The sequence below is a fragment of the Homo sapiens genome, chromosome 12 (assembly GCF_000001405.40).
Source record: "Homo sapiens chromosome 12, GRCh38.p14 Primary Assembly".
Classification (NCBI taxonomy): domain Eukaryota; kingdom Metazoa; phylum Chordata; class Mammalia; order Primates; family Hominidae; genus Homo; species Homo sapiens.
This window is the reverse complement of record NC_000012.12, coordinates 126,751,480-126,779,057: the sequence shown is the minus strand read 5'-3', so window position 1 is coordinate 126,779,057 and position 27,578 is coordinate 126,751,480. Positions and strand designations below refer to the sequence as shown.

General features: G+C 40.2%; 1 long non-coding RNA gene across 1 annotated transcript in view, besides 2 other annotated features; it reads left to right on the top strand.

Moving 5' to 3' along the window:
- Positions 6,023-7,222: an enhancer, noted in NCBI's record as "P300/CBP strongly-dependent group 1 enhancer chr12:127256382-127257581 (GRCh37/hg19 assembly coordinates)". NCBI's record gives its function as "activates an origin of replication core promoter dependent on BRD2, BRD4, P300/CBP, MED14 and CDK7 cofactors, with strong dependence on P300/CBP, by STARR-seq in HCT116 cells {active_cell/tissue: HCT116}" and the evidence as "EXISTENCE:reporter gene assay evidence [ECO:0000049][PMID:35650434]".
- Positions 6,468-6,547: an enhancer, noted in NCBI's record as "active region_7323". NCBI's record gives its function as "activates an Ori minimal core promoter by ATAC-STARR-seq in GM12878 lymphoblastoid cells {active_cell/tissue: GM12878}" and the evidence as "EXISTENCE:reporter gene assay evidence [ECO:0000049][PMID:35858748]".
- LINC00944 (long intergenic non-protein coding RNA 944) overlaps positions 6,796-27,578 on the top strand; it is a 41,562-nt gene continuing 20,779 nt past the window's right edge. The window contains exon 1 of the long non-coding RNA NR_033878.1: positions 6,796-6,979. This is a non-coding gene — a long non-coding RNA (long intergenic non-protein coding RNA 944). The remainder of the gene's footprint in view (positions 6,980-27,578) is intronic.

The window sequence follows — 27,578 nt, the reverse complement described above, 5'->3', positions numbered from 1 at the left end:
TGCCATAAATTGACGTTAGGTTTTGTCAAATGCTTTTACAGCATCAATTCAAAGGATCAGATGGCTTTTCTTCTTTAATCTGCTGATATTTTGAATTACATTAATTGATTAATGGATGTTGAAGTAGCCTTATAGTCCTGGAATTAGCCCTGTTTGGTTTGGGCATGTTATTTTTTTGTTTGTTTTACTGCTGGATTTGATTTGCTAATAGTTTGTTGATAATTTTTATTTATCTTCATAAGCAATTAATTGGTCTATAGTTTTCTGGTTTTGTAATTTCTGCATTTGTCTGATGTTGGTATCAGGACAATCTGGTCTCATCAAATGAGCTCTGAAGTGTTCTCTTCTGTTATCTAAAGAGTTTACGTAGGATTATTATTTTTTTTCTTAAATGTATGATAGAATTCACTAGTGGAGCTACCTGGGTCTGAGTTTCTCTTTGTTTGGAAGGTTTGAGACTCTAAATTAAATTAAAATAAGTAACACTATTTACTTATTTCTTCTGAATGAGCTTTCACAGTTTGTGCCTTTCAAGGAATTTGTCCATCTCATCTAAGTTATCAAACATATGGATACAAAGTTGTTCATTGCATCTCATTATTATTATATTAGCATCTGTAGCATGTTAGGGATGTTACCTAGTTTATTTCTCATACTGGTAATGTATGTCTTTTATTAGTGTTCACTTAAGCTACAGGTTTATCAATGTTATTAATCTTTTCAAAGCAGTAGCTATGGTTTTCATTCATGTTCTCTATTTGTTATCTATTATAAATATTATTGATGTTTTTGCTCTTATCTTCATTATAATTTATTTATGTATGTTATGAGTTTAAATTTCATTACCCTTTTTACTTCCTTTAATGGTACCATGGAACACAACCCTTTGTACACACACTGGTGACTTTGAGCACAGGTTCTCTCTTATTCTTTTGGTTACCTCTGTTTTCAGTGGAGTACTTGGAACGTGGTAGACACCCAGTAGAAGTCTGATGACTGAAATGATGAAGGGAATGGACAGACGCACACAGAATGAATGAATGAATGAATGAATGACTCTCCTAAATACCATTGTGTCCCCACCCACACTATAGCACATGTGCTAATCTCTTCCCTACATCCTGAACAACTAGGCCAATGTATCACTTATTTATTGACATTTTTAAAGACATAGACTTGAGGACACAAGAAGCTGGATTAAGTTCAGCACCATACTGACTGTTTCACCCTAGGAAATTGACTCGACTTTCTGATCTCAGAGTCTTCGTTGGTAAAGTGGAGATAATGACAATGCTTTGTTCACAAGGTTGATGTGAGCACTAAGATAATATACATCAAAGATTAGAGCTTACCAATTGTTGGATACATAGTGGCAATTATGCTTATATTTAAAAAATTCTTGCAAACCATAACTGAACAGCCAAATACATCACTCTATAGAATAAAAGACAAAAAATAAAAAATGCAGATTACAAAATACAAAAAGATATTCATAACTCACAAAACACAAGAGAATAGTATCCAGAATAGAGAAGGAGTTTTAACAAAGCAATAAGTAAAATACAAACAAACTAACAGAAAAATCAGTGAACATTATAAATGGATATTTTAGAGAATAATTTCAAATAGGCAAAAGACATATATAGGTGGTGGTTCATTTTCACTGTCAATTCCATGGACGCACATTAAAGCAAATGAACTACTACCGAGCATCCAAAATACGGGCAGACAATTTAGACACCTGACAGTACCAACCATTATAGAGAAGATATAAGGAGACCAGAATGTTCATACATTGCTTCTGGGAATGTATCTTAGCGGGAGAACTTTGGAAAATCAATTCCACAATATCTAGTAAAATTAAAGATATATATGCAATATCAAGCGGCAATTCCATTCTTGAGTGTATATGTAATTTTTAAACATACAGATGTTTGTGTGTATGCATGTGTATATGCATGTGTGTGATGTGTATATGCATATGTATATACACATAAAGTATTTTATATAATACATGTATATTATATATACACATAGGCATGTACGTGGGTGTGTCTGTGTATGTGCACAAGGAGATAGATATAAGAATATTTAACAGCATCATCTGTAATCACAGAAATGTCAAAAATAATAATTGTCTACCAACCAGATAATGGATAAAACAGTGTAATAAATCAATAAATAAAATACCAAATAACTACTTGAAAATGGAGTCACTAGAACTACATCTTTCAACACAAATAAATCTGAAACTATATGACTAAGAAAACAAAAGCAAGTTGCACTATTTATATGAAGCTTGAAAGCATGCAAACAATTGTGTGTGTGTGTGTGTGTGTGTGCATAGAATCCCATCTTTCAACCTCATTGTGGATTCATTTTTAAAATAGTGATGCAGGATTTTTTGCTCCTTAGCACAGCTAAAACCTGGGTTCTTGTCTCACAACCAGGAAAATTAGGCACGTGGACACACTGAAATGTGAGGAAGGCAAAATGTATTAAAAGAAAGCTCTCAGCAAAAAAAAGGGGGTCCCTGCCAACAAGCTCCCACCTCACAGATTGAATACCAGGCCACCACACATGAGCTGAAGAGGCCAAGCTCCTCCCACTGCATAAGGCGTGAATTTACAGTGGCTCCCCTCGCTTCTCCCAGTGGGCAGGTGGGCCCTTAGTCTGAGCCACTCCACATTGCTTTATTCCCTTACTGTGCATAGGTTCAGGGATGAAATTTTTCACTGTGGGCATCTTTAGGCAAGCTGCCTGTGCACAATGACCTGGGCCACATTTGGCTGTCTCCCAGCTCTATCGATAACGATCTTTCTTATGACTGGTAGAAGTGACTTTATATTTTTACATAGCCAGCATATCTGGGAGTGAACAATAATAATGATTGAAAATGAACAGATGCTTTCAGCACCTGCACTTTCTCAGTTGCCAAATCTACAACAGTTCCTCACAAAAACAACTCTCCCTCATGTGCCGCTTATTTGATTTCATCAACATTATTATGGCACAACCAGAGACACTAAACACTGGCCAGACATTTTTTTTTAGTTTGTTTGTTTTTTGCCCTGTCTGTCTGAAAACATCCCAGGATTGTCTCCAGCATAGGACAGCACACACGTCTTCTTACACTGTTCCTTAAATACAAATTTTTTTTTTTTGAGATGGAGTCTCGCTCTGTTGCCCAGTCTGGAGTGCAGTGGCATGATCTCAGCTCACTGCAACCTCCGCCTCCTGGATTCAAGCAATTGTCCTGCCTCAGCCTCCCGAGTAGCTGGGACCACAGGCATCTGGCACCATGTCTGGCTAATTTTTGTATTTTTAGTGGAGACGGGGTTTCACCATGTTCCACGATGGTCTCGATCTCTTGACCTCATGATTGCACCCGCCTTGGCCTCCTAAAGTGCTGGGATTACAGGCATGAGCCACCGCACCTAGCCAATACAACTTTTAAGAATAGTCCATCTGCATTTATTCTTATTACCCACCACCCTGGATGAAAACTCTTACCTAGAATCACATGGACACATCATAAATGCTGGTTATTTCTATTTAAGTCTCTCCATAAAAAAGATGAGCTCATTCTGGTTGACTTAAGAAATACTGCAGCCAGGAACTTTGGGATGCCGAGGCAGGCGGATCACAAGGTCAGGAGTTCAAGACTAGATTGGCCAATATGGTGAAACCCCATCTCTACTAAAAATACAAAAATAATTAGCTGGGCATGGTGGAACATGCCTGAAATCCCAGCTACTTGGGAGGCTGGGGCAGGATAATTACTTGAGCCTGGGAGGCGGAGGTTGCAGTGAGCCGAGATCGCACCACTGCACTCCAGCCTGGGCAGAAAAGCAAGACTCCATCTCGGAAAAAAAAAAAAAAAGAAATACTTCAACAACCTCTGTCAATATACACAGTGAGCAGGCAGTCACATCTGGGAAACTATTATTTGGGGCTCTAGAGGTAAATGTTTATGCGTTTATCTGGGACTGGCGTTGGGATATTTTGATCGAGATGTTACTGTTTATTATTGATTTTCCTTAGAATATCCTATATATCTACAAGCAATTACATGGTTATGCACCCTTTTTTGCACCATTTTTACATAAGTAATACATACTATACATGCCATTCTAAATTTAGATTATTTGGTTTTGGACTTGAAGGGAAAGAAGAGCTCTGGAAGTTTTGACACTGGGATTTAAATGCTCAAGTCCAGAAGAGGGATGGTTGGCTTTTGCTAGCAAACCATTGGCCAGACATAGTCACAAGGTCATCTTTGGAATTAATGAGGCCAGCAAGTGAAAGTCTATCATGTCTACTGCTAGAAGAGGCAACTGGGGAGTAGGGAGGTCACAGAGGTATGAAGTGGAGGCATCAGGTTTCACCAGCTGCTCAGTGAGACACTGGATCCCAGGTGGGGCAGAGTCTACGTAGAACCCAGTCATTTATTCACTGACTTTCCATTCATTCATTCGGTGTCCCCAGCCTCGTGCATGACATAGTTGCACATCCAGTGGGAACATAAAAAAAGCAGAGTTATATAAGGACCCTCAAATTACTTTCAAAAACAGATCATTAGAATGTGAAACATTCCCCCCTCTTGTCTTTACAAGTTTGCACCACATGAGCCTTTTTAACTGAAGAATTTTAACTTTCTAGAAGACAGATTGGCCTATCCAAGAGAGAGCAATCACTACTGAGGTCATGGCCATATATTCATGCATTGGGGTTGCTGGTTGGCTGGGCTCTCAGGGGTGGTCAAGAGGTTCCCTTTATTCTGAACCCCCTGTAGGGCGTGCTAGTCTTCAATGGAGAAGTTGCAGCTGGGATCAGAGACCCTCCTGGCAATTGCATGATTCACATCTCAGCAATAACATCTTGATGCATAAAGAAGAACACTGTACTTACAATCCCCGGAGGCAGAGGAGTAGACACACAATTACATGGCAGGGGCTTAGTTCATGATTAGGATGGCAAAGATCAGGCCCGGGATGGGCTGGCTGTATAACGCTAAATCAAAGAGGGCTCAGATTTATGAAACCAATAAATAAATGAGGCCCCAGACATCTGTCTGGAGTTGCTTGGGGAAATTCATTGATTTCAGAAAAAGGTATATATTAATAGTTTAAAAACATAAGAATAAAAATCACAGAGTTCATATCTTCAGCCTGAATATTTCTTCCTACTTCAAGATTCCTCCATCCAACTACCAATACCTGTCTCCAGTTAGATATCTACTATGCATCTTTAAATTAATATGTCTGAAACTAAACTCCTGTGTGCCACCACCACAATCTGCATGAACGAACAGATGAATGAATGAATGAATGAATGAATGAATGAATGAATGACTTACCATGACCATCAGAATCAAGGCACCTTGGTATAATATCTCTTTCCTTCCTTACAGCTGAAAATTTAGCTCTTGTCTTTGAAGATTCACTTCTGCCTCTCTCTAGCCCTGAATTGGTCTCTCTAGCAACATGTGTCTCCCCTCTGAATTCCTGTATGGATTTCAGACTAATGGCAGCCAAACCAGTGCCTGCACCCTTCCAGATTGTTTCTTCTAATTTAGTCCTCTGCTGGTGGTCTCCATGCACTCTCCTTTGCATATTCATCTGCAGGTCATCTTCACACATTCTTATCAGCCTAGGAGTCTTCTGTGCAGTGGTCTCTTCCTGCCACATCTCCCCTCTCCCCAGGAGATTAGAATGGCAAAGCCACACTCTATGGGATCTCAAGAACCCAAGTGTGAGATTTGCTTTCAGTATTTAGCAGAATTGGTGTTTCTGGGGCGGCAATCTCCTCCTGGAGATGTGTTAATCATTTACAGAATAGCCTGGACTAGTGTATGGGCCCTGCCCTTAGAGCCAATGCCACATTTATTTTTATTTTGCGAGATCTGCACTGACATGAAAACCGAAAATTCTATTGACGTTTCCTGTTCAACCTAAAAGCTAAATCCAGTTCATCACTGAAATCCCACAATGCCCTGAGACAAATAGTGCTTTAAAATATGTGGTGATTTTTAGGTCAGGTGCGGTGTAATCCCACACCTGTAATCCCAGCACTTTGGGAGGCCGAGGCGGGTGGATCACGAGGTCAGGAGGTTGAGATCAGCCTGATCAATATGGTGAAACCCCATCTCTACTAAAAATACAAACATTAGCCAGCGCCTGTAATCCCAGCTACTCAGGAGGCTGAGGCAGAAGAATGGCACGAACCCGGGAGGCGGAGGCTGCAATGAGCCAAGGTCGCGCCATTGCATTCCAACCTGGGCAACAGAACGAGACTCCGTCTCTAAGAAAAAAAAAAAAAAAAAGTGGTGATTTTTTTAAAAAGGAGTGGTTCATTCAGTTAAATGGGAAGAGTTGTAATGAGGGACTAAGTGGCTAAGTTGGCTGGACTTCCTGGGTCAATAGGGACTTCCCTAAGGGGACTTTCCCCTAAGCCAAAATGAGTCATAGCTGAAAGCTAAGGGATGGAAACTTCAACCAATCAAAGGGGACTTTCCCCTAAGACAAACTGACTCATAGCTGCAAGCTAAGTGGTTGAAACTTGAACCAGTCATATAGGGAGTTTAAGCTCTAGCTTCAGCCTGATGTTTTTAACCAACTAGGCCCGCCAACCCACAAGCAGATAGAAAATAAGCTGATTCTATAGGACAGAAAAAGGAAGAGGGCAGGGGTCATAAGGGGATGTAAGCATAAGATACCCAAGCCAGAAACAGCAACCCTTCCAGGTCCCCTTCCCCCACGTGGAAGCTTTCCTTTCACTTTCGCTTTAATAAATCTTGCCGCAGCACACTCTCTAATCGAGCTGTAACACTCGCCACTGCCGTCCACGGCTTCATTCCTTGAAGCCGTGAGACCACGAACCCTTCGATTGAGAAGAACCTTCGGTCGGAAGAAGACTTCTCGTCTCAGTAACAATAACAAGAAAAACAGCCTAGACTAGACGCACATCAGGAAGACAGGTAGTAACAAAATATTTTGTTGTTTGTACTTTTAGTGTTGTCTCTAAGACAGCTTTGCCTAACCCAGGCAACAAAAATTTAATCCTATACTTTCATCTAAGAGTATTACAATTTTAACTCTTTAATTGAGGTCTGTGGATCATTTGGAGTTAATTTTTGTGTGTGGTGTAAGGAAGGGATCCAAAACATACTTGTCAGCAGCAGTTGTGGAAAAGACTATTTTTCCTATTTTTTTCCTCATTCAACTGTCTGGAATTTTTGTTGAATATCAATTGACTATAAATGTAACGGTACGTTTTACGGCTCTCAAGTCTATTCCACTGGTCTGTGTGTCATTTTTTTATACCAATACCACACTCTTTAATTATTGTGCCCGGGTAATGTCTGACATTGGAAAGTGTGAGTCCTCTAAATGTGTTATTTTTCTCAACTGTTTTGGATGTTCTAAGTCCCCTGTGTTTCAATATGAATTTTATGATAGGCTTCTCAATTTATACAACAAATCCAGCCAGAATTTTGATAGGGACCACATTGAATCTATAGATCAATTTGAGGAGTACTGCCATCTGAACAATATTGTCTTCCAATCCACAAACATGAATTTTTTTCCATTTATTTAAATCTTCTTTAATTCTTTTCAACAATGTTTTCTAGTGCTACATGCATAGGTTTTGCACTTCCTTTTAAGAATTTATTCCTAAATATCATATTATTTCTGAGTGCTATTATAAATATAATTACATATTTTCTTAAAATCATTTTTGGATTGCTTACTTTTAGCATATAGAATTTCAATTTATTTTTGTATATTGATCTTGTATCTTGAAACTTTGTCCAACTAATTATTAGTTTTAATAGGTTTTAAGTGGATTTCTTAAGATGTTCCATACACAAGGTCATATCATGTTTGAATATAAATAGACTTACTTCTTTATTTCCAAACTGGATGCTATTTATTTATTTTTCTGGCCTAATTATCTTGGATAATTTCAGGAAAATTTTGAATAGAAGTTATAAGAGTAGACATTCATGTCTTATTCCTGATCTTAAGAGAAAATAACTCAGTCTTTTACTATTAACTATAATGACAGCTGTGGAGTTTTTTGTAGATGTCCTTTACCTTCTATTTCCAATTTATTGAGTGGTTTTTTAAAAATGTATATGAAAAGGTGTTGGATTTTGTTAAATGCTTTTTCTGGGTATACTGAGATGGTTATGTGGTTTTTGTTATTTATTCTAATAATGTGGTATTTAGATGGGGGTCTTTAACTGCTGGCTGAAGACTCTCCAAAGCTTGTTTTCCTTCTTCCAGAGTGATCTATAGTATTCAATACAGTGGTTTTCATTTGTCCTGTGCATCTGATCATAATGAACAGAACCTCTCTACTGATCACTGAAGAACCTATAGCATGAGTGAGAAATAAACCTTATTGTTTCAAACCACTGAGGTTCTGAGGTTGTTTGTTAGGTAGGTGCCTTTAAAATATGTCCACAAATTTTTCTTTAACAAACCCTCCCTTATCATGTTAAGTCTATTTCCCCTCTCAGTGAGTGAGAGTCCAAATGAGTTACTCACAGAAGTAATTTACAAACAGAAGTAATAATATATGGTGATATGGTTTGGCTGTGTTCCCACCCAAATCTCATCTTGAATTCCCATGTGTTGTGGGAGAGATGCAGTGGGAGATAATTGAATCATGGGGGGAAATTTTTCCCATGCTGTTCTCCTGATAGTGAGTAAGTGTCATGAGATCTGACCGTTTTATAAAGAGGAGTTTCCCTGAAGAAGCTCTCTTTCTCTTTGCCTGCTGCCATGCACGTAAGACGTGACTTGCTCCTCCTTGCCTTCTGCCATGATTGTGAGGCTTCCCCAGCCATGTGGAAATGTAAGTCCAATTAAACTTCTCTCTTTTGTAAATTAGCTGGTCTCAGGTATGTCTTTATTAGCAGTATGAAAACAAACTACTACATATGGCTTTTGGGCTAAGTCATGAAAATAAAAGGCATTGTTCTCTCTCATCACTTACTCTAGGAAAATCTGGCCGTATTTCAGCAAGACACTCAAACCCATGTAGCCAAAACAAAACAAACAACAACAACAACAACAACAAATGCATACTCCTATCAAAAGCCAGTGAAGAACTGAACCCTCCTGCCAAATGCCATGTGCAAAATCAGCTAGGAAGTGAACTCATCATTGATACTATTGAATAAGCATCCCAGACTTAGTAAGGTTGTTTTTGTCCTGGTAGAGATACAAATTACTTCTATTTGATGGAACAGATAACACCCCCCAAAATATGTCATATTGAATATAAGCCAGTTTTTGTATATAACTCATACATCATATATTAATGTTGCTTTTATATATTAGGCTTTAAAAATGTTCTTTAAGCCAGTCCTACCATGTTACTGGTTCTCTAAGTAGTAATTAAAAGAAAATTTATACAGGTTTAATTTTATGTATTTTTAGAGTCATAATTTTATGATTTAGAAAATTATACTTCATGAGCTACTTGCATAAATTAAACAAAATTAATCCCTATCACTTATTTAAATATAAGACTAGGAGCTATTTCCCCTGTCAAGATTGTGTTTTTAAAGTAGTACTGTTTTGAGTAATTTACTTGATGCCAACCCTGTCCCTTGACAGTGTTATTCACTTCAACACAGCTGCAACTCTCTAAAAGAGACATCAGTATTGCCCAAGTTCCTATGATAAACTGGGCTCTGAAATGTTCAGTAACTCGCCCAAGTTCTCACACTTCGTTAAGTAGCAGAACCAGGATTAACCACTAGCTATAACACCAAAGTCCATGTACTTTTCATTAAGCCATGATGCCTCTGAAAATTAGCCAGATCTGAGTTTTTGCTTTCATGGAAGAATAGAGAATCAGCCTGGCGTGGTGGCTTACGCCTATAATCCCAGCACTTTGGGAGGCCGAGGCAGGTGAATCACTTGAGGTGAGGAGTTCGAAACCAGCCTGCCCAACATGGTGAAACCCAGTGTCTACTAAGAATACAAATATACAAATAAGCCTGGCATGGTGGTGCACGCCTGTAATACCAGCTATTTGGGAGGCTGAGGCAGGAGAATCACTTGAACCTAGGAGGTGGAGGTTGCAGTGAGCTGAGATTGTGCCACTGCCCTCCGGCCTGGGCGATGAAGCAAGACTGTCTCAAAAAAAAAAAAAAGACAAAAAACAAACAAACAAAAAAGAATAGAGAATCAGCAGAGACTGACTTGGGTGGGATTCCACCATTTGCATTTTCTCACTGCCCTGAAGTGGTGAGAATTAACACAGGACACATGCATCTCGTGTATGACCGATATCACTAAGCAATCTGACAGATTTCCTGTTTGTTAAAACTGTTCTCAACATGAAACCACGACCAATCAAAAGTGGATGAAAACAATTTTCTTCCTCACTCTAGAGTCTCAAAATTATTGCGGTTTCCTCTTGGGAACAGAATGACATTTCAGGTCTCTATAATTCTCCAGCTTAGGCTAAACTCTGATTTTCAGATTCAGGTTAAAAAAGAATATTCAGATTTTGAAGATTGTTTTTCAGATTGAAGTAGCCCTAAAATAGTCTGTAATATTTTGACTTTGACATTTTCCCCTAGACCATTAAACTCTAACTCAAAAAATCATGTCCATTGTATCTGCCATGTGATTCTGAGTCACAGTATAATTCTGACAGATATTTCCCAAATTCAGGGCAAAGTAACTTAGATTTTATATTTACAGGGAGATCAGGAGCTCCAGACATTCTGCTTCTATGCAAAATTATTATTAGTTATGGCTCCTTGATAATTAGGGAGAGAGGTCAGGCATGGTGGCTCACACATGTAATCCTAGCACTTTGGGAGGCTGAGGTGGGCAGATCACTTGAGGTCAGGAGTTCAAGATCAGCCTGGCCAACATGGTGAAACCCTGTCTCTACTAAAAATATAAAAATTAGCCAGGTGTGTTGGTGCACGCTTGTAAACCCAGCTACATGGTAGGCTGAGGCAGGAGAATGACTTGAACCCAGGAGGCAGAGGTTGCGGTGAGCAGAGATCATGCCATCGCACTCCAGCCTGGGAGACAAGGGCGAAACTCTGTCTCAACCACAACAACAAAAAACAAACAAACAAACAAAATAAATAAATAAATAAAAGCAAAACTCCATCTCACAGAAAGAAAAAAAACAAAAAGAAAAAATAAATATATAATTAGGGAGAGAAAAATCTCAAGTCTGAACACAAGAAGCGAAGTGACTTAATCCTACTCTGAATACATTTGCCTTTACTCATGTTGTTGAATCCAAAGCTCACACTGCTTGCTGTACAATAGTCAATAAGTTGAGAGACAAGGTGTTGGTGATGCAGAATTGTTCTTGGCCCCTTTGCTGGACTCACAGCAAGGGGCGCCCTGTCTACTCCGCCAGCCACGCTCAGCCCCTGGCAGGAGGGAGCACGTGTGTGAGTGAGTGCAGGGCCTGATCAGCCCCTTTGAGGGCTGACACAGGAGCAAACTCTGTGCGGGGCCTGCGGCCAGACCAGGCATGTCACCCCAAGGGGAATGCTGCAGGGCCCAAGCAGGGGTGCCAATGACCCTGAAGCCCCAGACGGGGTGTTACAGTGTGCTAATTAACTCTTTTAGTTCCACCATCCACAGCCCAATGGGCAGTAGTGTGTTAGCAGCTCAGCCAGCCTCTTGCCCCACTCCGGCCCATGACTCTGGGACTGGTGTGGCTCTGGGGCTGGCTTGGCCCTGCCGCTGCTTCTATCATGTGGGGTGACTGCTCTCCACCAGTGCCAGCAAGGGAAGAGGGCCAGTGTTACATCCTTCCTGGGTACCTGCCTTTGATGGCTCCCAGGCTCTTGTCCTGTGTCCAAGAAGAATGAGGTCATGCTGACAACTGAAGGGTGATGAGAGCAGAGAATTTTATTGGGCAACAAAACAGCTCTCAGCAGAGAGAGGATGGGAAGGTGGGGTCATCTCTTTCCTGAAGTCAGGTGGTCTCTCTCAGTGTGGCTGAGTCTGGGGCTTTAATAGGCACAGGATAAGGAAGTGCATGCTGATTGATTTGTGAATATGCAAAAAAGATTAAAACAAAGGTAGCACTCAAAGGTGGGCACAGTGTAAAAGCAATTAGGGAAGGGTAGGTATATGTAAAATAGGTGAAGGGTGGGAACTAAAGGAAAGTGTGTCAAACAGGAAGACAGGTTCTCAACCCGGTGAGTGGATTTGATTTGTAGCTTGGCCTTCAGGCTTTAAACTGTCTTTTGCTTGAAGGTGGGGTTTTACCAGGGACCCGCCCTTGTCTGCCTAGGATTTCTCTGCCTCCTGCCTCTATCACTGGGGCTAGAAAAGCTAGTTTATTTCAGAAAGCCAGCAAACTGAGAAGCTGGCATACTAATGTCCTGAAGGACCATCTTAAAAGGCATGACTTCCAAGCTTCTTTTTATTTGGGTGAAGGGGAATCAAGGAGGGGCCTGAGATCAGAGGGTAACAGGTGACCGCAGACATCAAGGCATTGGCAGGAGCCTAAGGGGGTTGTGAAGCTTCTTTGTCCTTGGTCAGGTCACAATGCTCCTATAAACATTTAACATACCATGGTTATTTATGTGTATGGCCCTCTTTATCTCCTCAGGGATGAGTTTTTGAAAGTGGCTATTATCATCCTTGCTTTAAACTATAAACTAATTTCCTCCCATCATTAGCTTGTTTTACATATAGTAATGATCAAAGGCAGTTAGCTAGTGAGGTTAGAAACAAGATTGATTCAGCTGTGTTAGATTTCTCTCACTGTTACAGTGATGTGGGATACAAGAAGTTAGGTCCCCAAGTAATGAGGAGATTCAAGTTTCCAACATCGGCACACTCACAAGTGGGTTGTAAAGCTAATGGTGGCATGACCCTCCCCAAGACTTTGGGTCCTGTGTTAGCTACACATTTCCCCAGTATCCATTGAGCCAGATGCTAAAGCTGATCTTTTTGCATCAGGGATGGACTCAGAGATTTCAGAACCACACCCTTGAGTCAAGAGTCAAGAATGCTCCCAGTCACCAAATGTAATCATATTTTGAACCTTCAGTTGTACCTTGTGAGTTCCTCTACCACAAGGTTAGCCTGGTATGATTTTTAAAACCATAATGACAAGTACACTTCATAATCACTGCCTAATTGCAGCCATTTCTTTGCCAGGAAGTCATATATTGTCTTCCTAAGGCATACTGATAAGCCCATTCACACAGGATTAAATACTTCCATCCCAAAATGGCTATTATGCTTGACAGACTGATTAGCAAGTGTAGGGAGATGAAAACTACAATCTGAGTAAATTGGATGCTTTAAAATTCACTAGAAGGATGCTGTTAATTACACTAGCAAGTCTATAGTCTACATATATTTTTCCTCAGTAAAATAGATTGCACACATATCCAGTGCAATTTCTGACTAATAATGCTTAATAGGGGAATATCAAGCCCTCAACTTGTAATATTCTTATTTATATTAAATCATCACTTAAATGTTTTTCTAATTGTTTGCCCAGCTTTATGGCCAGGAAGCTTTTCTACACCACAAGGGAACTGCTGTCCCTGCACTAGTTGAAAATATACTTGCCCTGGCTGGGTACAGTGGCTCATGCCTGTAATCCTAGCACTTTGGGAGGCTGAGGCAGGTTGATCGCTTGAGCCTAGGAGTTTAAGATGAGCTTGGGCAACATGGAAAGACCCCCATCTCTACAAAAGAAAAATACAAAAGAATAAGAAAAGAAAATACACTAACCCTTAAAAACTCAAAATCATGAGGGTGGAGGAACCAGGAAAAACAGACTTTCTGCTAAGGCCAGGATTCTGTTGTTTACTGACGAAGACTGCTTTCTTGACCACACTTTAGTTTGATTTCTTTGATCTTTGTCCTTGACTAAGCTTTGACCCTGAAGACCTTCATGTCTTCAGCCTGCTAAATCAGCATATTGAGAACCACCCATCAATTTTATTTATCATAAAATATTTCTTTTTCTGCCCTTGACATCCAAATCTTTGGTCTGCCCTTAACAAGAATCTTTCTAGGTCAGTTTATCAAACGCCCCTTTCCACTTGATGCCTATTTTTCCATCCATTGATCTCCTTATTCAGCTAGTTTGCTAAACATCCTCCCTTGTCCTTGTTGTATTCAGAGTTGAGTTCAGTCTCTCTCCCTTATTGCAATACCTTTGAATAAAATACGACTTCCCTTTATCAACAAGTGTCTAGTGAACAACTTTTCTCTTTAACTAGACTATGAAAGCAAGTTTCAAGTTTGCAAGCATATCTTCTCAACCACATTTTTAAAGTGCAAATACATCCTTGAAATGTCCAGCATGATTAGGAAGTTTGCTTTCCAAGGCATTGTCTTCTTTTTGAATAAAGCTTTTCCAGATACAGTACTAACAGAGCCCTTTTTTGTTTAGATGCACTGCATTTAGCAGACAGTTTCTGACATTTACTGTGTGTCCAGCATGGTTCCAGGGCCCTCACTATGGCTCTCTTCCTGAAGAATGCTCATTTATGAATGCTGTGTGGTGCACCTGCATTGACACAGGGGATGTTTGCTGTTTTGCTGACCTGGAGTCCTTTTTTTTCTACTCCTATCATAGCTGCACTCACAGTCCTTCCAGATTCCACCACATGCTCAGGAAGGGCACATAATCTGGGCCTGAACAATCAGAACATTCCATTTTCTGTCCACGGTGACTGATTCAGGGATGGTGTGTTAGTCGGTTCTTGAATTGCTATTAAGAAATACTTGAGACTAGGTTATTTATAAAGAAGAGAGGTTTAGTTTGGCTCACATTTCTGCAGGCTCTATGAGAAGCCTGGTGCTAGTATCTGCTCCTGGTGGGGTTTCAGGAAGCTTAGAATCATGATGTAAGACAAAGAGGGTGCTGGCATATCAGATGGTAAGAGCAGGAGCAAGAGACAGAGAGGGGAGGTGCCACACTCTTTTAAATAACCAGCTCTCATGTGAACTCATTAGCACTCATTACCATGGGGAAGACACAGACCTATTCATGAGACATCTGCTCCCATGACCCAAACACCTTCCACAAGGCAAGAGTCACATTTCAACATGAGACTTAGAGGGGAGAGTTATTCAAACCATATCAGATGGATGCAAGACTCTATCTGGGCAGGAAGTCGGGTCCAGGACTTTCACTGAAACTGCTGGCAAGAGTAGAGAAGGGACATCTTCTGCCTTCTGCGAGGACAAGAGCATGTGTCTGTCAGGGGTTACCAATTGAAGAGAGTCTGCCTGAAAGAAAAGCCAGCACAAGTGAAATCAGAGCAGGGAGACAGAGAAAGCAGGTCTTGAGAAAAATGCTTCAGCTACTGGTTCCAGCTACACCTGGAACTCGTGTATTCCTGGACTTATCAACAAATTAATAAATTCCTTTCTCACTCAAGCCAGTTTGAGTGGTGATCAGAAAAGGACTGATGGGCACTGGGACTAACACAGGATGTATGTGATTTAGATAGTGACTTCCTGTGTAACCCCGGGTAAGCCCAACACCCTCATGAAACATTTTGTCTTTGAATAAACAGGTACCCAGCATAACCCCATTGAAGAGCTGTTCCCTGGGACCTGGAGAGGAACACAGCAGGCTGCCATGCCCACTGCACCTGCAGGTGAGGCAAGGCAGTAAAACAGAGAGGCTGTGACTATCCAGGCAAACAGTTGAGAGTTTGAATTTCTGCTCTGCTGCTCATGGGCTGTGTAACCCTAAGACAATTATTTGACCTCTCTGAGCCTCAATTTTCTCACCAGTAAATTGAGAAAAATAGTACCGTCTGGTAAACTCTCAAGGAATGTTGGATGAAAGAACAAAAACATGAGTGAATGAACAAATAATGGAATACATGTTAAAGGACCAACAGATGTGTATACCTGCTGCATAGTAACTTATCAATACACTGAGACAGCAGGGTTTGCAGCAGAGAAAGAGTTTAATAATTGCAGGGCACCAAGTGAGGAGATGGAAGGAGACTGTTTTTTCCATCTCTGCAAGGGTTTCTGGGCTGGAGCTGTTCATGGAGGTTGAGGGGCTGGAAGATTGGGGTCATTGATTGGTTAGGATAGGAGGGATAAACCATCAGGACATGGAAACTGCATTCTTTGGTAAGACAGTTTCTTGCAGGGTCCTTCAGACCAGCTGAGTTAGTAGTTTCACTGGTATACCAGATTGAAAGGGTATCTGATATGATTTGGCTGTGTCCTCACCCATATCTTATCTTGAATTCCCATGTATTTTGGAAGGGACCTGGTAGGAGGTCATTGAATAATGGGGGCAGGACTTTTCCATACTCTTCTCATGATAGCAAATAAGTCTCATGAGATCTGACAGTTTTAAAAAGGGGAGTTTTCCTGCACAAGCTCTCTCTTTGCCTGCTGCCATCCATGGAAGATATGACTTGCTCCTCCTTGCCTTCTGCCATGATTGTGAGGCCTCCCCAGCCACATTGAAATGTAAGTCCATTAAACCCTTTTTCCTGTATAAATTACTCAGTCTCGGGTATGTCTTTATCAGCAGCATGAAAATGGACTAGCACAGTATCCCAAGTGGACAATATTTTCCAATGTTCAAGTTGTTAATTACAGAGCAGTTACATGGAACTCTAATCTTGGAACAGGTTCTATGTGATTATGAGGCAATCAGCACCAAACAGCTATGAGGAAGCAGTTCAGAGAGCAGGAAGCAGTTCAGAGAGCAGGCTTCCCTCATGGTGAATGCTAAGCGTGCTGCAAGCTGGGTTCAGTTCCTTTTCCCCAGCTTCCTTCTTCCCTGGTTCATTTTCTAAAGTTTACAGGGACAGTTTCACAGGTGAACGGTCAGCATTCAAATTCCCGCTTTGCTACTTATAGACTGTGTGACCCTGGGGCAATCATTTAATCCTTTTGAGCCTCAATGTTCTCACCAGTAAGATCAAGAAAAAGTAGTAACTATCTGGTAAACTCTCAAAGAAGATTGGATAAAAGAATGGCAATATGAATGAAAAAATAAATGAAACAATAAATGTTGTATTCTGGCTTGTTCCTGATATAGAAAATAAGAAATAAAATTAAGAGATTAAGTAACTTAGACACTAAGTATTAATTAGGTTAATTGACAGCAATAATGCATGGGGCTCAGAAGCAGCTACTTAGGAGGTGAAGATTTTGTTTAGAAATCCAGCTCCACCTTTTATTGATTTGGTGACCTTGAGAGAGTTACTTTAACTCCCTAATGATCAGTTTCCAAATCTAACATATGGGGAAATTTTAAATGGTTAAAGTAGAACTTAAAGTTTCCAGATTCAGTACTTTGGGGATAAATTATGTAGAAAATTGAACAAATGAGCTGGACAGATGTGGCCACTGTGTGTTCTCTTCTATCACTTTCTGTTTTACTTATATATGTCTCATTGTCTACTCAGAAAGTGAGTCACTGGTACCATATCCCTATCATGTATATCTCAGGGGTTTAGTGAAGAACCAAATATTCAGTGCTATAACGATTCTGACATTTCTATATACAAGTAACAGAAATTGCTAAAATAATGGCTCACACAGTCAAGGCACCTACGTATCTCCTAGTGGAGAAAACTGTGAGTAGGTGATTCTAGATTGATGCATTGGTTTAGCAATGAAACCAAAAACAGGGGCCCTTTGTACAATCCATGTCTGCCATCCTCCAATGTTGATTTTTCATTCTCCTGCTTAGCAAATCATGTTCACAAGATGGCTGCACAGCTTTCGCCATCACAGCCTTTTCATGGCAGAAAGAAGAGGGAAGGTTCCTATCATATTTTTCCTTTTGTTAAGGAGGCAAGAGTTTTCCCAGAAATCTCAAATGACTGTCTAAGACCTCATCGGCCAGCACTGGGTCACATGGCCACCTCTTGTTAGAAGGAAGTTTGGTAAAGTGAGTGCCTGGCTTTGCAGGTATTTTAGTGGGAGGGGACAAAGGAGAAGGTGGTGAAAATGGCTGTTGTGTTAATTGAAACAGTGTCGGCCACAGCCGCAGAATAAACATGTGGAGAAGGTCATTGATCACCTTGACTGAAGCACTGCAGACAAGATAAAGACAGCCTGATGCAGAGGAAGATTGAGGACTAAGGGGCTTCATCCACAGGTGAGCTCACATCTGAAAGCCGTGCTTACATGAATGTGAAAATATCTCATCCATGGAGTTGCCCACCTCTTGCATTTAAGAATCAAACTTCACCCTTTCTGTCTCCAAAGCTTCATGTTTATATGGTAAAAAGAAAAAAAAATCAGTGTAACTCAGATGCCTCCCAAGTTTCATCCCACTCTTCTCCAAAGATAGTGTTCTTCCTTGAGTAGTCTTCTCTTTTGTCTACTGTGCAACAAGATGTATAACCATCACCTTCCCCACCAGATAACATGCTAGGATGCTTTCTGTTAGGATATGAAGAAGAGTGATACTGACATGCTAGTGATAATACTCTTGGAGCTGGGAAACTTGCAGAGTAACCAGGCGTCTACTGACCCACCACATTTTTACCTTATGACCAAAGACAAGGCCCTGTCATAATAGACTGTCATCATAGGAGGTAGCATGCATCCATTCATCCAACAGATATTTACACAGTGGGTCCTAAGTGCAGATATTGAAATGATCAGGGTTATAAGACACTAACAATGCCAACGGAGTGGGTTGATATAGAAATTTATTCTAAGTGCTTTATGTGCCTTTTCTTCTTGTTCTGAATGAAAAACATGTGAGGTATTTTCTGTTATGACGTCACTGTAGAAGTAAAGAAACGGAAGCTAAATGGCTGAGTAACACAGCTGTCAATAGTTAATAGTTAGTAAGGGGCAGAGCTGGAATTTTCACCCAGCCTCCAGAACCCCATGACTTTAGCCACTATATGTACTGCCTGTATGGTGAGAAATAAAATAGACATGATCTCTGTTTCCATGGCTAGGAGAGAAAGAAGGACATGAAACCAATTCACACATAAATATGATTTTAAATTGTCATAAGGGCTGCAGAAAAATATAAACAAGCTACCAAGACAGCAAACACAAAGCAAAGTCATTATTTATACTGAGAGTTAAAGAAGCCCTCTCTTCCCCTCTCTCACCCCAAAAATGTGACATTTAAGCTAAAACCTAATAAACAGAGCACATTATCTTGTTGAATAATTTGGGGAGGGGAAGTGAGACTGGTGGGGAGGAGCAAAGTCCCTGGGCAATGGGAATGGCCTCAGCCTGAGATAGAAATGGGTTTGGCAAAGGAGGAGAGAAACAAACAACGGTGTAACTGTGCTATTGCTGCAACAATGCTGGGTAACAGACAACCCTAGTCTCAAGTATAGGTCTGTTCCAGGTGTTTCTTCATTTTTCATGCAAGCAGTTACTGGGTACAGCATGTTCTTTACATGGAGAATGGCAACAGCATAAGAGGAACAGACAGAAGCTTTTCAGTAACCCTTAAGAATTTTTCTTGCAATCAGTCACTTCTGCTCACATTTCATTGACCAAAATACAAGGCCCAGCCAAGCTTCCGTGGGAGGAATTGCAAACTCACTTCACACAGGGTATAGATTCTAATGTAGAGAAGAATAAAAATTTAGGAGCAATAATCCCATCTACCTGTGGCCCAAGGTGTTCTGAAAAGATGGCTATTTTTGTGGCTTTGGGATATGTTCTTTGGGCCAGGAGGAAGAAGGAAGGAGTTAATCAATGAAAGAATTAATCTGGAGAAGTATGGGAAAGGCCTCATGCTATGTCTAGGGGTTGGGTTTTATGCTATCAGCCCTGGAAAAGTACTTATGAAGCCTTCCTGAACAGCTTCCTTAAAGAGAATGTTTGTTTGTTTGTTTTGTTTTGTGTTGTTTTGTTTTGCTGTGCTCTGGAAAGCCAAATCTTGAGCCATGATCATCCCAGCCCGGCTAAGCATTCCAGGAAACACGGCTGATTGTCCATCCCTATAATCATTTAGTGGAAATATATTTCTAAGGATGTTAGAATGGTATTTTAAAGAGCATCATTCACTTGAATTCAAAATCTTTCTAGATCTCTAGAATTCAAGTAATTTTTCTTGCTGTCAAAAAAATTTTTCTCAAACTTTTTATCTTAAGACAGACATAAATGTAACATTCTTATGGATACCAGATCTTATCAGATAAATGTCCTTGTTTTAACATTGTTTATAAACATCTAAAATGTTTAGGCCTAATTGTAATGAGACTGTAAAGAAAGATACATAGTAATTCTTATGTTTCACCACACCCCTTTATCAAAATTTTCAAAATGTCTCATGAAATCATAAGCTAAGTCAAATTTTATTTGATCTCATGTAAACATTCAACATATTAAAAATATCTGTTATCAGCTGCCCTCTTTGCTGGGTAATTTAGAAGATGAAAATTTTCTGACTACTTGGAGCTTAGAGTCTGCTTAGGGTAGTCAGATTGGCATTGAGAAAATTAATACACATATTAATATTTAATAATATTAAAATTAATAGTTTAATTAAAAGACATGTTATGATGGAGATGATTCCTCTTTTCAGTCAATCAATCAACTCTAGAAAGAGATTTCTGCAGCATTCTCCTTTTCTTGTGCCATCTGAAATTTTTGCAACTTCGCTAAGTCGTGAATGGCAGCCGATTTAGGCAAAAGGGAGCTACGACCACCAGTGGGTATCTTGGAATTCCAGTCCCCAGTTTGGATAATTGATTTCTACATAAGTTTCAAAGGAGAGCCTAGCAAAGAAGAGCAGAAGGAGACAAAATGTCCCCAAGGGCTTGGGAACAGCTGTGCCATAAGGTGCTAATGTTTGCATTTTTCAGCATGAGGTTTCCATGTCAGAGAAGGCATGGACATCCAACCCTTGCAGGCTCATTTATCCCTCTAAGTCACGTTTTTATCCAGACCTCTCCAGCAGCTCCCCTCCACCCCCTGCCCCTTCCCCCTTACCATCCTAGAAGGCGAAAAATGGCCACAAGCTTTTAATCAAAGATCAAATACTGGAAGAGAGCGGGCTGCATTTTTTTGTTTTTTTTTTTTTTTCCCAGCCTTATCTGTATCTTAAAGCACGAATATTAGTTACCAACAGAAAACAAACCTAGATTTCACACAACATGAAAACTTTTCCAATATTCTGAGATTACAGGAAGATCCAACTGCACTGAGCACACATTCCAACATGGCAAGGATTGCCTTGTGCTGAGGCCCTGATCCTCCCTCTGGATGGGGCAGAGGCCTTCAGTCCCTTCCGGCTCCCATCACTCATGCATGTCCCAGCCTATTGCCTGCAGGGACAGCTGCAACAACTACTTAGCCCCATGAGATAACCTGCATTGGATAAATAATGTATGGTACTAACTGCATGCCAGGCACTGTGCTGGGAATTATGAATGCAAAGAAGCAGATGCCTGACTCTCTCCATCTTTGTAGAACTCACAGAAAAGCTGGAGAAACAAGCTCATTATTGAAACAGAATGTGGCAAGTGCTATAAGTGACATGTCCATCAAGAACCTTGGGAGGACGTAAGAGCAAGCTGCTGTAAATAATGTCCCATCTGCTGCAGGTAGTCCTCCCCTGTCATGCTCCCTTTGCTTATGTGTGTCACAAAACAGATGGATTCATTTCCCCATTAGGCTGTGAGTATCTCAGGAAATGACCATATCTAATTCACAAGAGCCTAAGATGTAGTGAACACTGAAAACATATGAGTTGAATGCAATGTAGAAAGCGTGGAATGATAAACAAATTGATTCTGATCAGTTAGTATTTCAAGATAGAAGGATAGAGATACAGATAGAGTATAGATATAAAAATCCACATACAGGTATCTCCAGATTCACTCACTGAAGCACTTTCCAATTCATGAGTCAATACATCCCTTCCTAGGATAATCTGAAGCTCTGTTGTTTGCAATGGAAAATGTTATATGCTACATGCGATACATAGAATAATGGGTCCCTAAAGAGGTCCGTGTTCAAATCCACAGAACCTGTAAATATGTTGCCTTCCGTATCAAAAGTAACTTTACAGGCATGATTACATTAAGGATCTTGAGCTGGGGAGAAGATTCTGGATAATCTAGCAGGCTCCATATAATCATAAAGGTTCTTATAAGTGAAAGAGTGAGACAGGGGGATGAAAGTCAGAGGGAAATTGAGATGCCATGCTGCTGCCTTTGATGATGGAGAAAGGAGTCACAGAACAGAGCACATGGGCAGCTTCTGGAAACTGGATAAAGAAAGCATTCTTCCCTGAAGCGTCCATTAGGAATGCAGCCAACACCTAGACTTCAGTTTATCAAAATCTAATGTAAGCCCCTGACCTCCAGAATTGTAAGATAATGCATTTCTAGTGTTTTAAGCCACTAAAATTTTGATAATTTGTTATAGCAGCAATTGGAAATTAATACTACCAAATGACAGCCCAGCATTCTTAATGAGGCAGAGTCTCCATGTTTCTCTGTACACCAGCCTTTTGATTTGCCTTATAATTTCAACCTATATTTAACTATACTTCAAGGAATAAGCAAAATGTGCAGTAGAAAAGTGCAAATTACCTTCAAAATCGAGGTTAGTCTATTTTCCTGAAGTTTAGTACTTATTTCCTGGAACACTTAATCCTTCTAGGAAGTTGACATCTCACAACGATTCCCTGAAATGGCTAAATTACTAACAACAAATCTCATTCTCTTCTACCCAGTTCTATGTGTTTGCTAAATCAAACCAACATAGTCTCAGGGTCCATTTTCCAACTATTTCTGCTTTAAAAATTGGAGCTAAAGGTTGGCCATTTGCTGCTGCTCAACCCAGTGAGAAATTTGTAGTAGAGAAGGTAATATAATTCAGGAGGATATGGGATGCCAGGTTCTGTTGCAACTTAAATAAATCTCAATGAATTAAACTCCCTTAACAACCTTTCAACAATATTGCACATTGAATGTTCATAGAAATTCCTCGAAGCAACTGTACTGAAGTATTAAATGAATAAAAGGCCTTTCTACTAAAAGACCCTGACCTATTCATGAACTGCCACTGAAGGAATACTCATGTTCTTCCAGATCCAACATAATTTAAAATGTTCCAAAGCCTCAGTATATGTGATATTGTAGGAGTTGCTCTATCCATTCTCCCAATGGCTACCGCAGGGAGGTAGGGCAAAGTAGTGATGACCAAATCCAGGCTTTCCTTATTTGTGCCTATTGCCCACAGAATTAAATTCAAGCACTCAAGAAGGGTGAATCAATAGTGGCCCTAGCAGGAAATAAGATTCCTCTCAAATGGGTTTATGGGATAAAATTTCATAAAGAAAGTATTCGTGGGTTTGAAGGGAATATTTACAGGGTTAAGAAGAGTAAGAAGGGTGTTGAGGAACCCAGAAACTGGTATCATCAGAAAGCTGTTATCATCCTTGGATCTGAAGGACCAAGAGGAGGATATAGTGTTGCTGGAGCCCCTCGAAAGCTACTTCCATGGCAGAGGGGCTATGTGAGAGGGGCTGTGGCTCTGAATGGATGCCGCCGTTGCCAGAACCATGTTGCCAAAGCAGAAAACAAGTGGAAAGAAACCCTCCAGTCTTTTTCTTTCTACCTTCCAAACCCCTGTTGGTGCCTCCCACTGACCAACACTGACCACAGTCCTTTATCACGGCTGGTAGAGGAGCTGGGTGATGAGGTCTGGAGGAGTCAGTTCCTGGGCACAAGGTGTGGTGAACAGGAGTTACAAGTGGATGGGGTGGAAACAGAGAATAACCAGCACACCTGGTATTCATGGGTCTCTGGTTGCATTCTGTATTCCCTTTACACATTTGTCTCCTGCAACCCCTACCAAATTTCACAGGGGACTGAGAAACACAGGTCCTGTCCATCGGAGAAAAACCTAAAAACAATATGGCAATATAGACATTCAACTTCTGCCCTGGCAGAAGGACCTTAAGGACCTATTGCAAAAATGCAAAATATGTGTGCAATGATGTTCACTGAAGCATTGTTTGCTTTCAGAAATACTACCTGCAAACCCTAATGTGCATCAACAAGAAACTGGTTGATAGGTTGTGGCACGGTTATACAATGCTACATTATATAGATTATAGAATCTATATAGAATTGATGTGGTAGAATGTTTGTGTCAACATGGAAAGATGTCTAAAAATATTTTGAAGTGAAAACAGCAAGCTCAAAACTGTGTTGACAGTATAATCCCTTTCATCAATTATAATATATTGTACATAAGGTGGAACATTTTCCTAAATTAATCACTGAGCTTTTCATTCTTAAAATTTCCCTTTTACATGTATTAAAACTAGACCATGACATCCTCTGCTCAAGTCAAGAAGGATCCAGCCAAAATGCAGATAATCAAATGTAAATTCTTGTATTTCAAAAACCCTCAAATCAGATTTTGGAAGCTCATAGCATAGATAACATTTTGAGATTAAAAAAAATATCAGAGTAACAAAAATCACTGTCCTGAAGAAGACATGTTACCAATTGACAGAGCCAGACTATTATCTTTAAAAAAAAAAAAAAAAAAAAACTGTTTTCTGTGTAAAAAGTTATGCTTGCTTATTGTAAAAACTCAAGCAATAAGAAAATATACAAAATAGAGGTTAAAATTTTTGTCCCCCAAAATCTCAGTAATAATCTCCCCGTCCTGTGATAATGCTCAATGTGTACGCACAGAAGGATTTCAAGTTTGTGTGTGTGTGTTTGTGTGTGTGTGTGATCAGTCATCTATTGCTGCATATCCGATACCCAAAAACATAGTGGCTGTGATAGCCATTTTATTTGCTCTGAATCTGGAGTTACACTTTGAGCTGTGCTTGGCATACTGGTTCTTCTACCTGGATTAGCTTGGGTCACTCATATGGTTGTAGTCATCCGGTAGCTCTGTTGTGAAGTTGATGCTGGCCAGGTCTCTCTCTCCATGTGGCTTCTCAACCTCTAGAGCGTAAATACAGGGTTTCCCCCGCCTCTTCCCCCACCTCCTCAGGGTTTAGACATTCTAACAGGGAACAAACTGAAGTGGCAAGGGTTCTTGAAGCCTACGCCCAGAAGTGGTCCAATGACTCTTCTGCCATATTCCATTGGCCAAAGCACACCTTGAGGCAAGCTTACATCACAAGGATAGAAAATTACACTGCACTTCTTGATGATAATCTTTACACATCACTTGCAGTCCATGTTAGTCTTTTACACATGCACTAGGAAAAACAAAGCTTAACATCGTAATATACTAAATCATACGAAAAACTAAACAACCAAATAGGAAAAAAATGTGTAATGAATATAAAGAGACAATTTACTAAAGTCAAAATGTAAATGGAAAACAGAATGTTTGTAGAAGATGCCTCAACTTAACAGTGGCTAAAGGAATGCGATTTTAAACTATGTTTACTGGAGGGAAAATATTTTCAACATGAACATAGCTATTGTTTTGGGAGTTTATAGAATATCAGACACTGTACCAAGTGAAAACACATGAGATAAATATGGTTGAAAATCCCATTTCACAGATGAAGAAATACAATCTGGGAGGCTGCCACTGGCTCCAGTAATTGAGAGATGGGACCTTGGGCCGTGTAAAGGCAGTTGGATCCAGGGAGTGGTTAGGAGCCTCTCAAGCTATGATCCATCAGTCACTTCTCTTCAATGATCTTCTTTGCATTCATTATACTTACAGACATAGAAAAGATCTGAGTGCGTGGCTCATGCCTGTAATACAAACATTTTGGGAGGCTGAGGCGGGAAGAATCACTTGAGGCCAGGAGTTCAAGACCATCCTGGGTAACATAATGTGACCCCATCTCTACAAAAAAAAAAAAATTGACTGGGCATGATGGTATGCACCTGTAATCCCATTTTCTTGTGAGGCTGAGATGTAAGGATCACTTGAACCCAGGAGTTTGAGGCTGCAGTGAGCTATGATCACACCACTGCACTCCTGCCTGAGAGACAAAGCGAGACCCACGCTCTTCAAAAAATAAAACAAAAAACTAAAACAAAACAAGACAAAACCCTCCTTAACTTGTGAAATAAACACAGAAAGCTTTAGCATAGTATAGATTTGGGGTTTCATTCACTCCAACCAACTAATTTTTACACAATAAAACTAAGGTCTAAATGGGAAGAAAGTTGCCAAAATCACATGCGTAAAGCTACTTACATATAAGGACTCAGACCAGGGGCTCCTACTATGTCCCTGTATCCTTTCTTCTATGTCTTCCCGCTTCCTAATCACTGTTCCTTAACAGATAGGACACATACCCCACATGACTTATCTAGGCACTTTTGTCCTGTTTCAAGACCTCTATGAAATGAGAGGTCCCTATGACTGCTTAGATGGCGGTGAGGAGACACTGAAGAGAGACAGATCCATGGAGCAACAGAAAGCTTCATGCTTCATTTGTCTTCCTTTGGTTCCCTTCCACATCTGTAAGCACACTAATAAAAGCAGAAGAAAACTGCTTTTCTCTTAAAAAGCAAAATGAATAAATGCCACTGCAATCAATCAATTGCTGGAATAGAGCATTATTCTTATAACCATCTCTACCTTTCTGTATTCAACTTGGTGGGTTTGAAGTCACCAAGAGAAAATAACTTAGTCATTTTTTTTCAGATGGCATTTTCCAGACAGGGTGGCTCTCTCTGTTAGCGGGCAGGACCTTCTGTTACTTGGATCATTCTATAACAACATTTAGAAGCAGTGGAATAAAATTGCAAAATGAAACCAAGTCCATTTATTCAGCGGAATCGAATTGCAAGATGAAACCACGTCTGGGAAGCATATTTTTTTACAGAAGAATCTGCAGTTTAGTTTTGTTTATTGCAACACAGGTGCAAAGGGTCAACCTCACCTCATTTATCTTTCAGGGCATGTTATTATTATTGGTCTGTGAAAGAATCCTTTTTTGTTCACTCATTATGTTGAACTATGTAAAATTACCACTTTTGTAAGATAAAAAAGCAATCAAATATTAATGATTTCAAGTGGCTTGCCTAGTAGTTATTCCTTATCAAACCCACATCCAGGCTGGGTGTGGTGGCTCACTCCTGTAATCCCAGCACTTTGGGAGGCTGAGGCGGGTGGATCACCTGAGGTCAGGAGTTCAAGATCAGCCTGACCAACATGGTGTAACCCCAACTCTACTAAAAAGACAAAAATTAGCTGGGCGTGGTGGTGTGTGCCTGTAATCCCAGCTACTCGGGAGGCTAAGGGAGGAGAATCGCTTGAACCTGGGAGGTGGAGGTTGCAGTGAGCCGAGATCTTGCCACTGCACTCCAGCCTGGGAAACAAGAGTGAAACTCTGTCTAAGCAAACAAACAAACAATAACCCCCACATTCTACTACCATTTTCATTTCTTTATCGCCAGCCACTTACATAAAATTCACATGTATTTTGTTACGGTCATGAAGATATTTATGTGTTCTGTCACAATATATATTGCTATTTGGGGTAAATAATATACTCATTCTGCCTCTTTCTTAATTCAGGACAATACCTTTTTAAAAACACCTACCTCTGTTTCTATTTTTAAATCCACTCTTTTGTTCCTAAGTATGGCACAATGCTGGACAGTTTTCCAATAA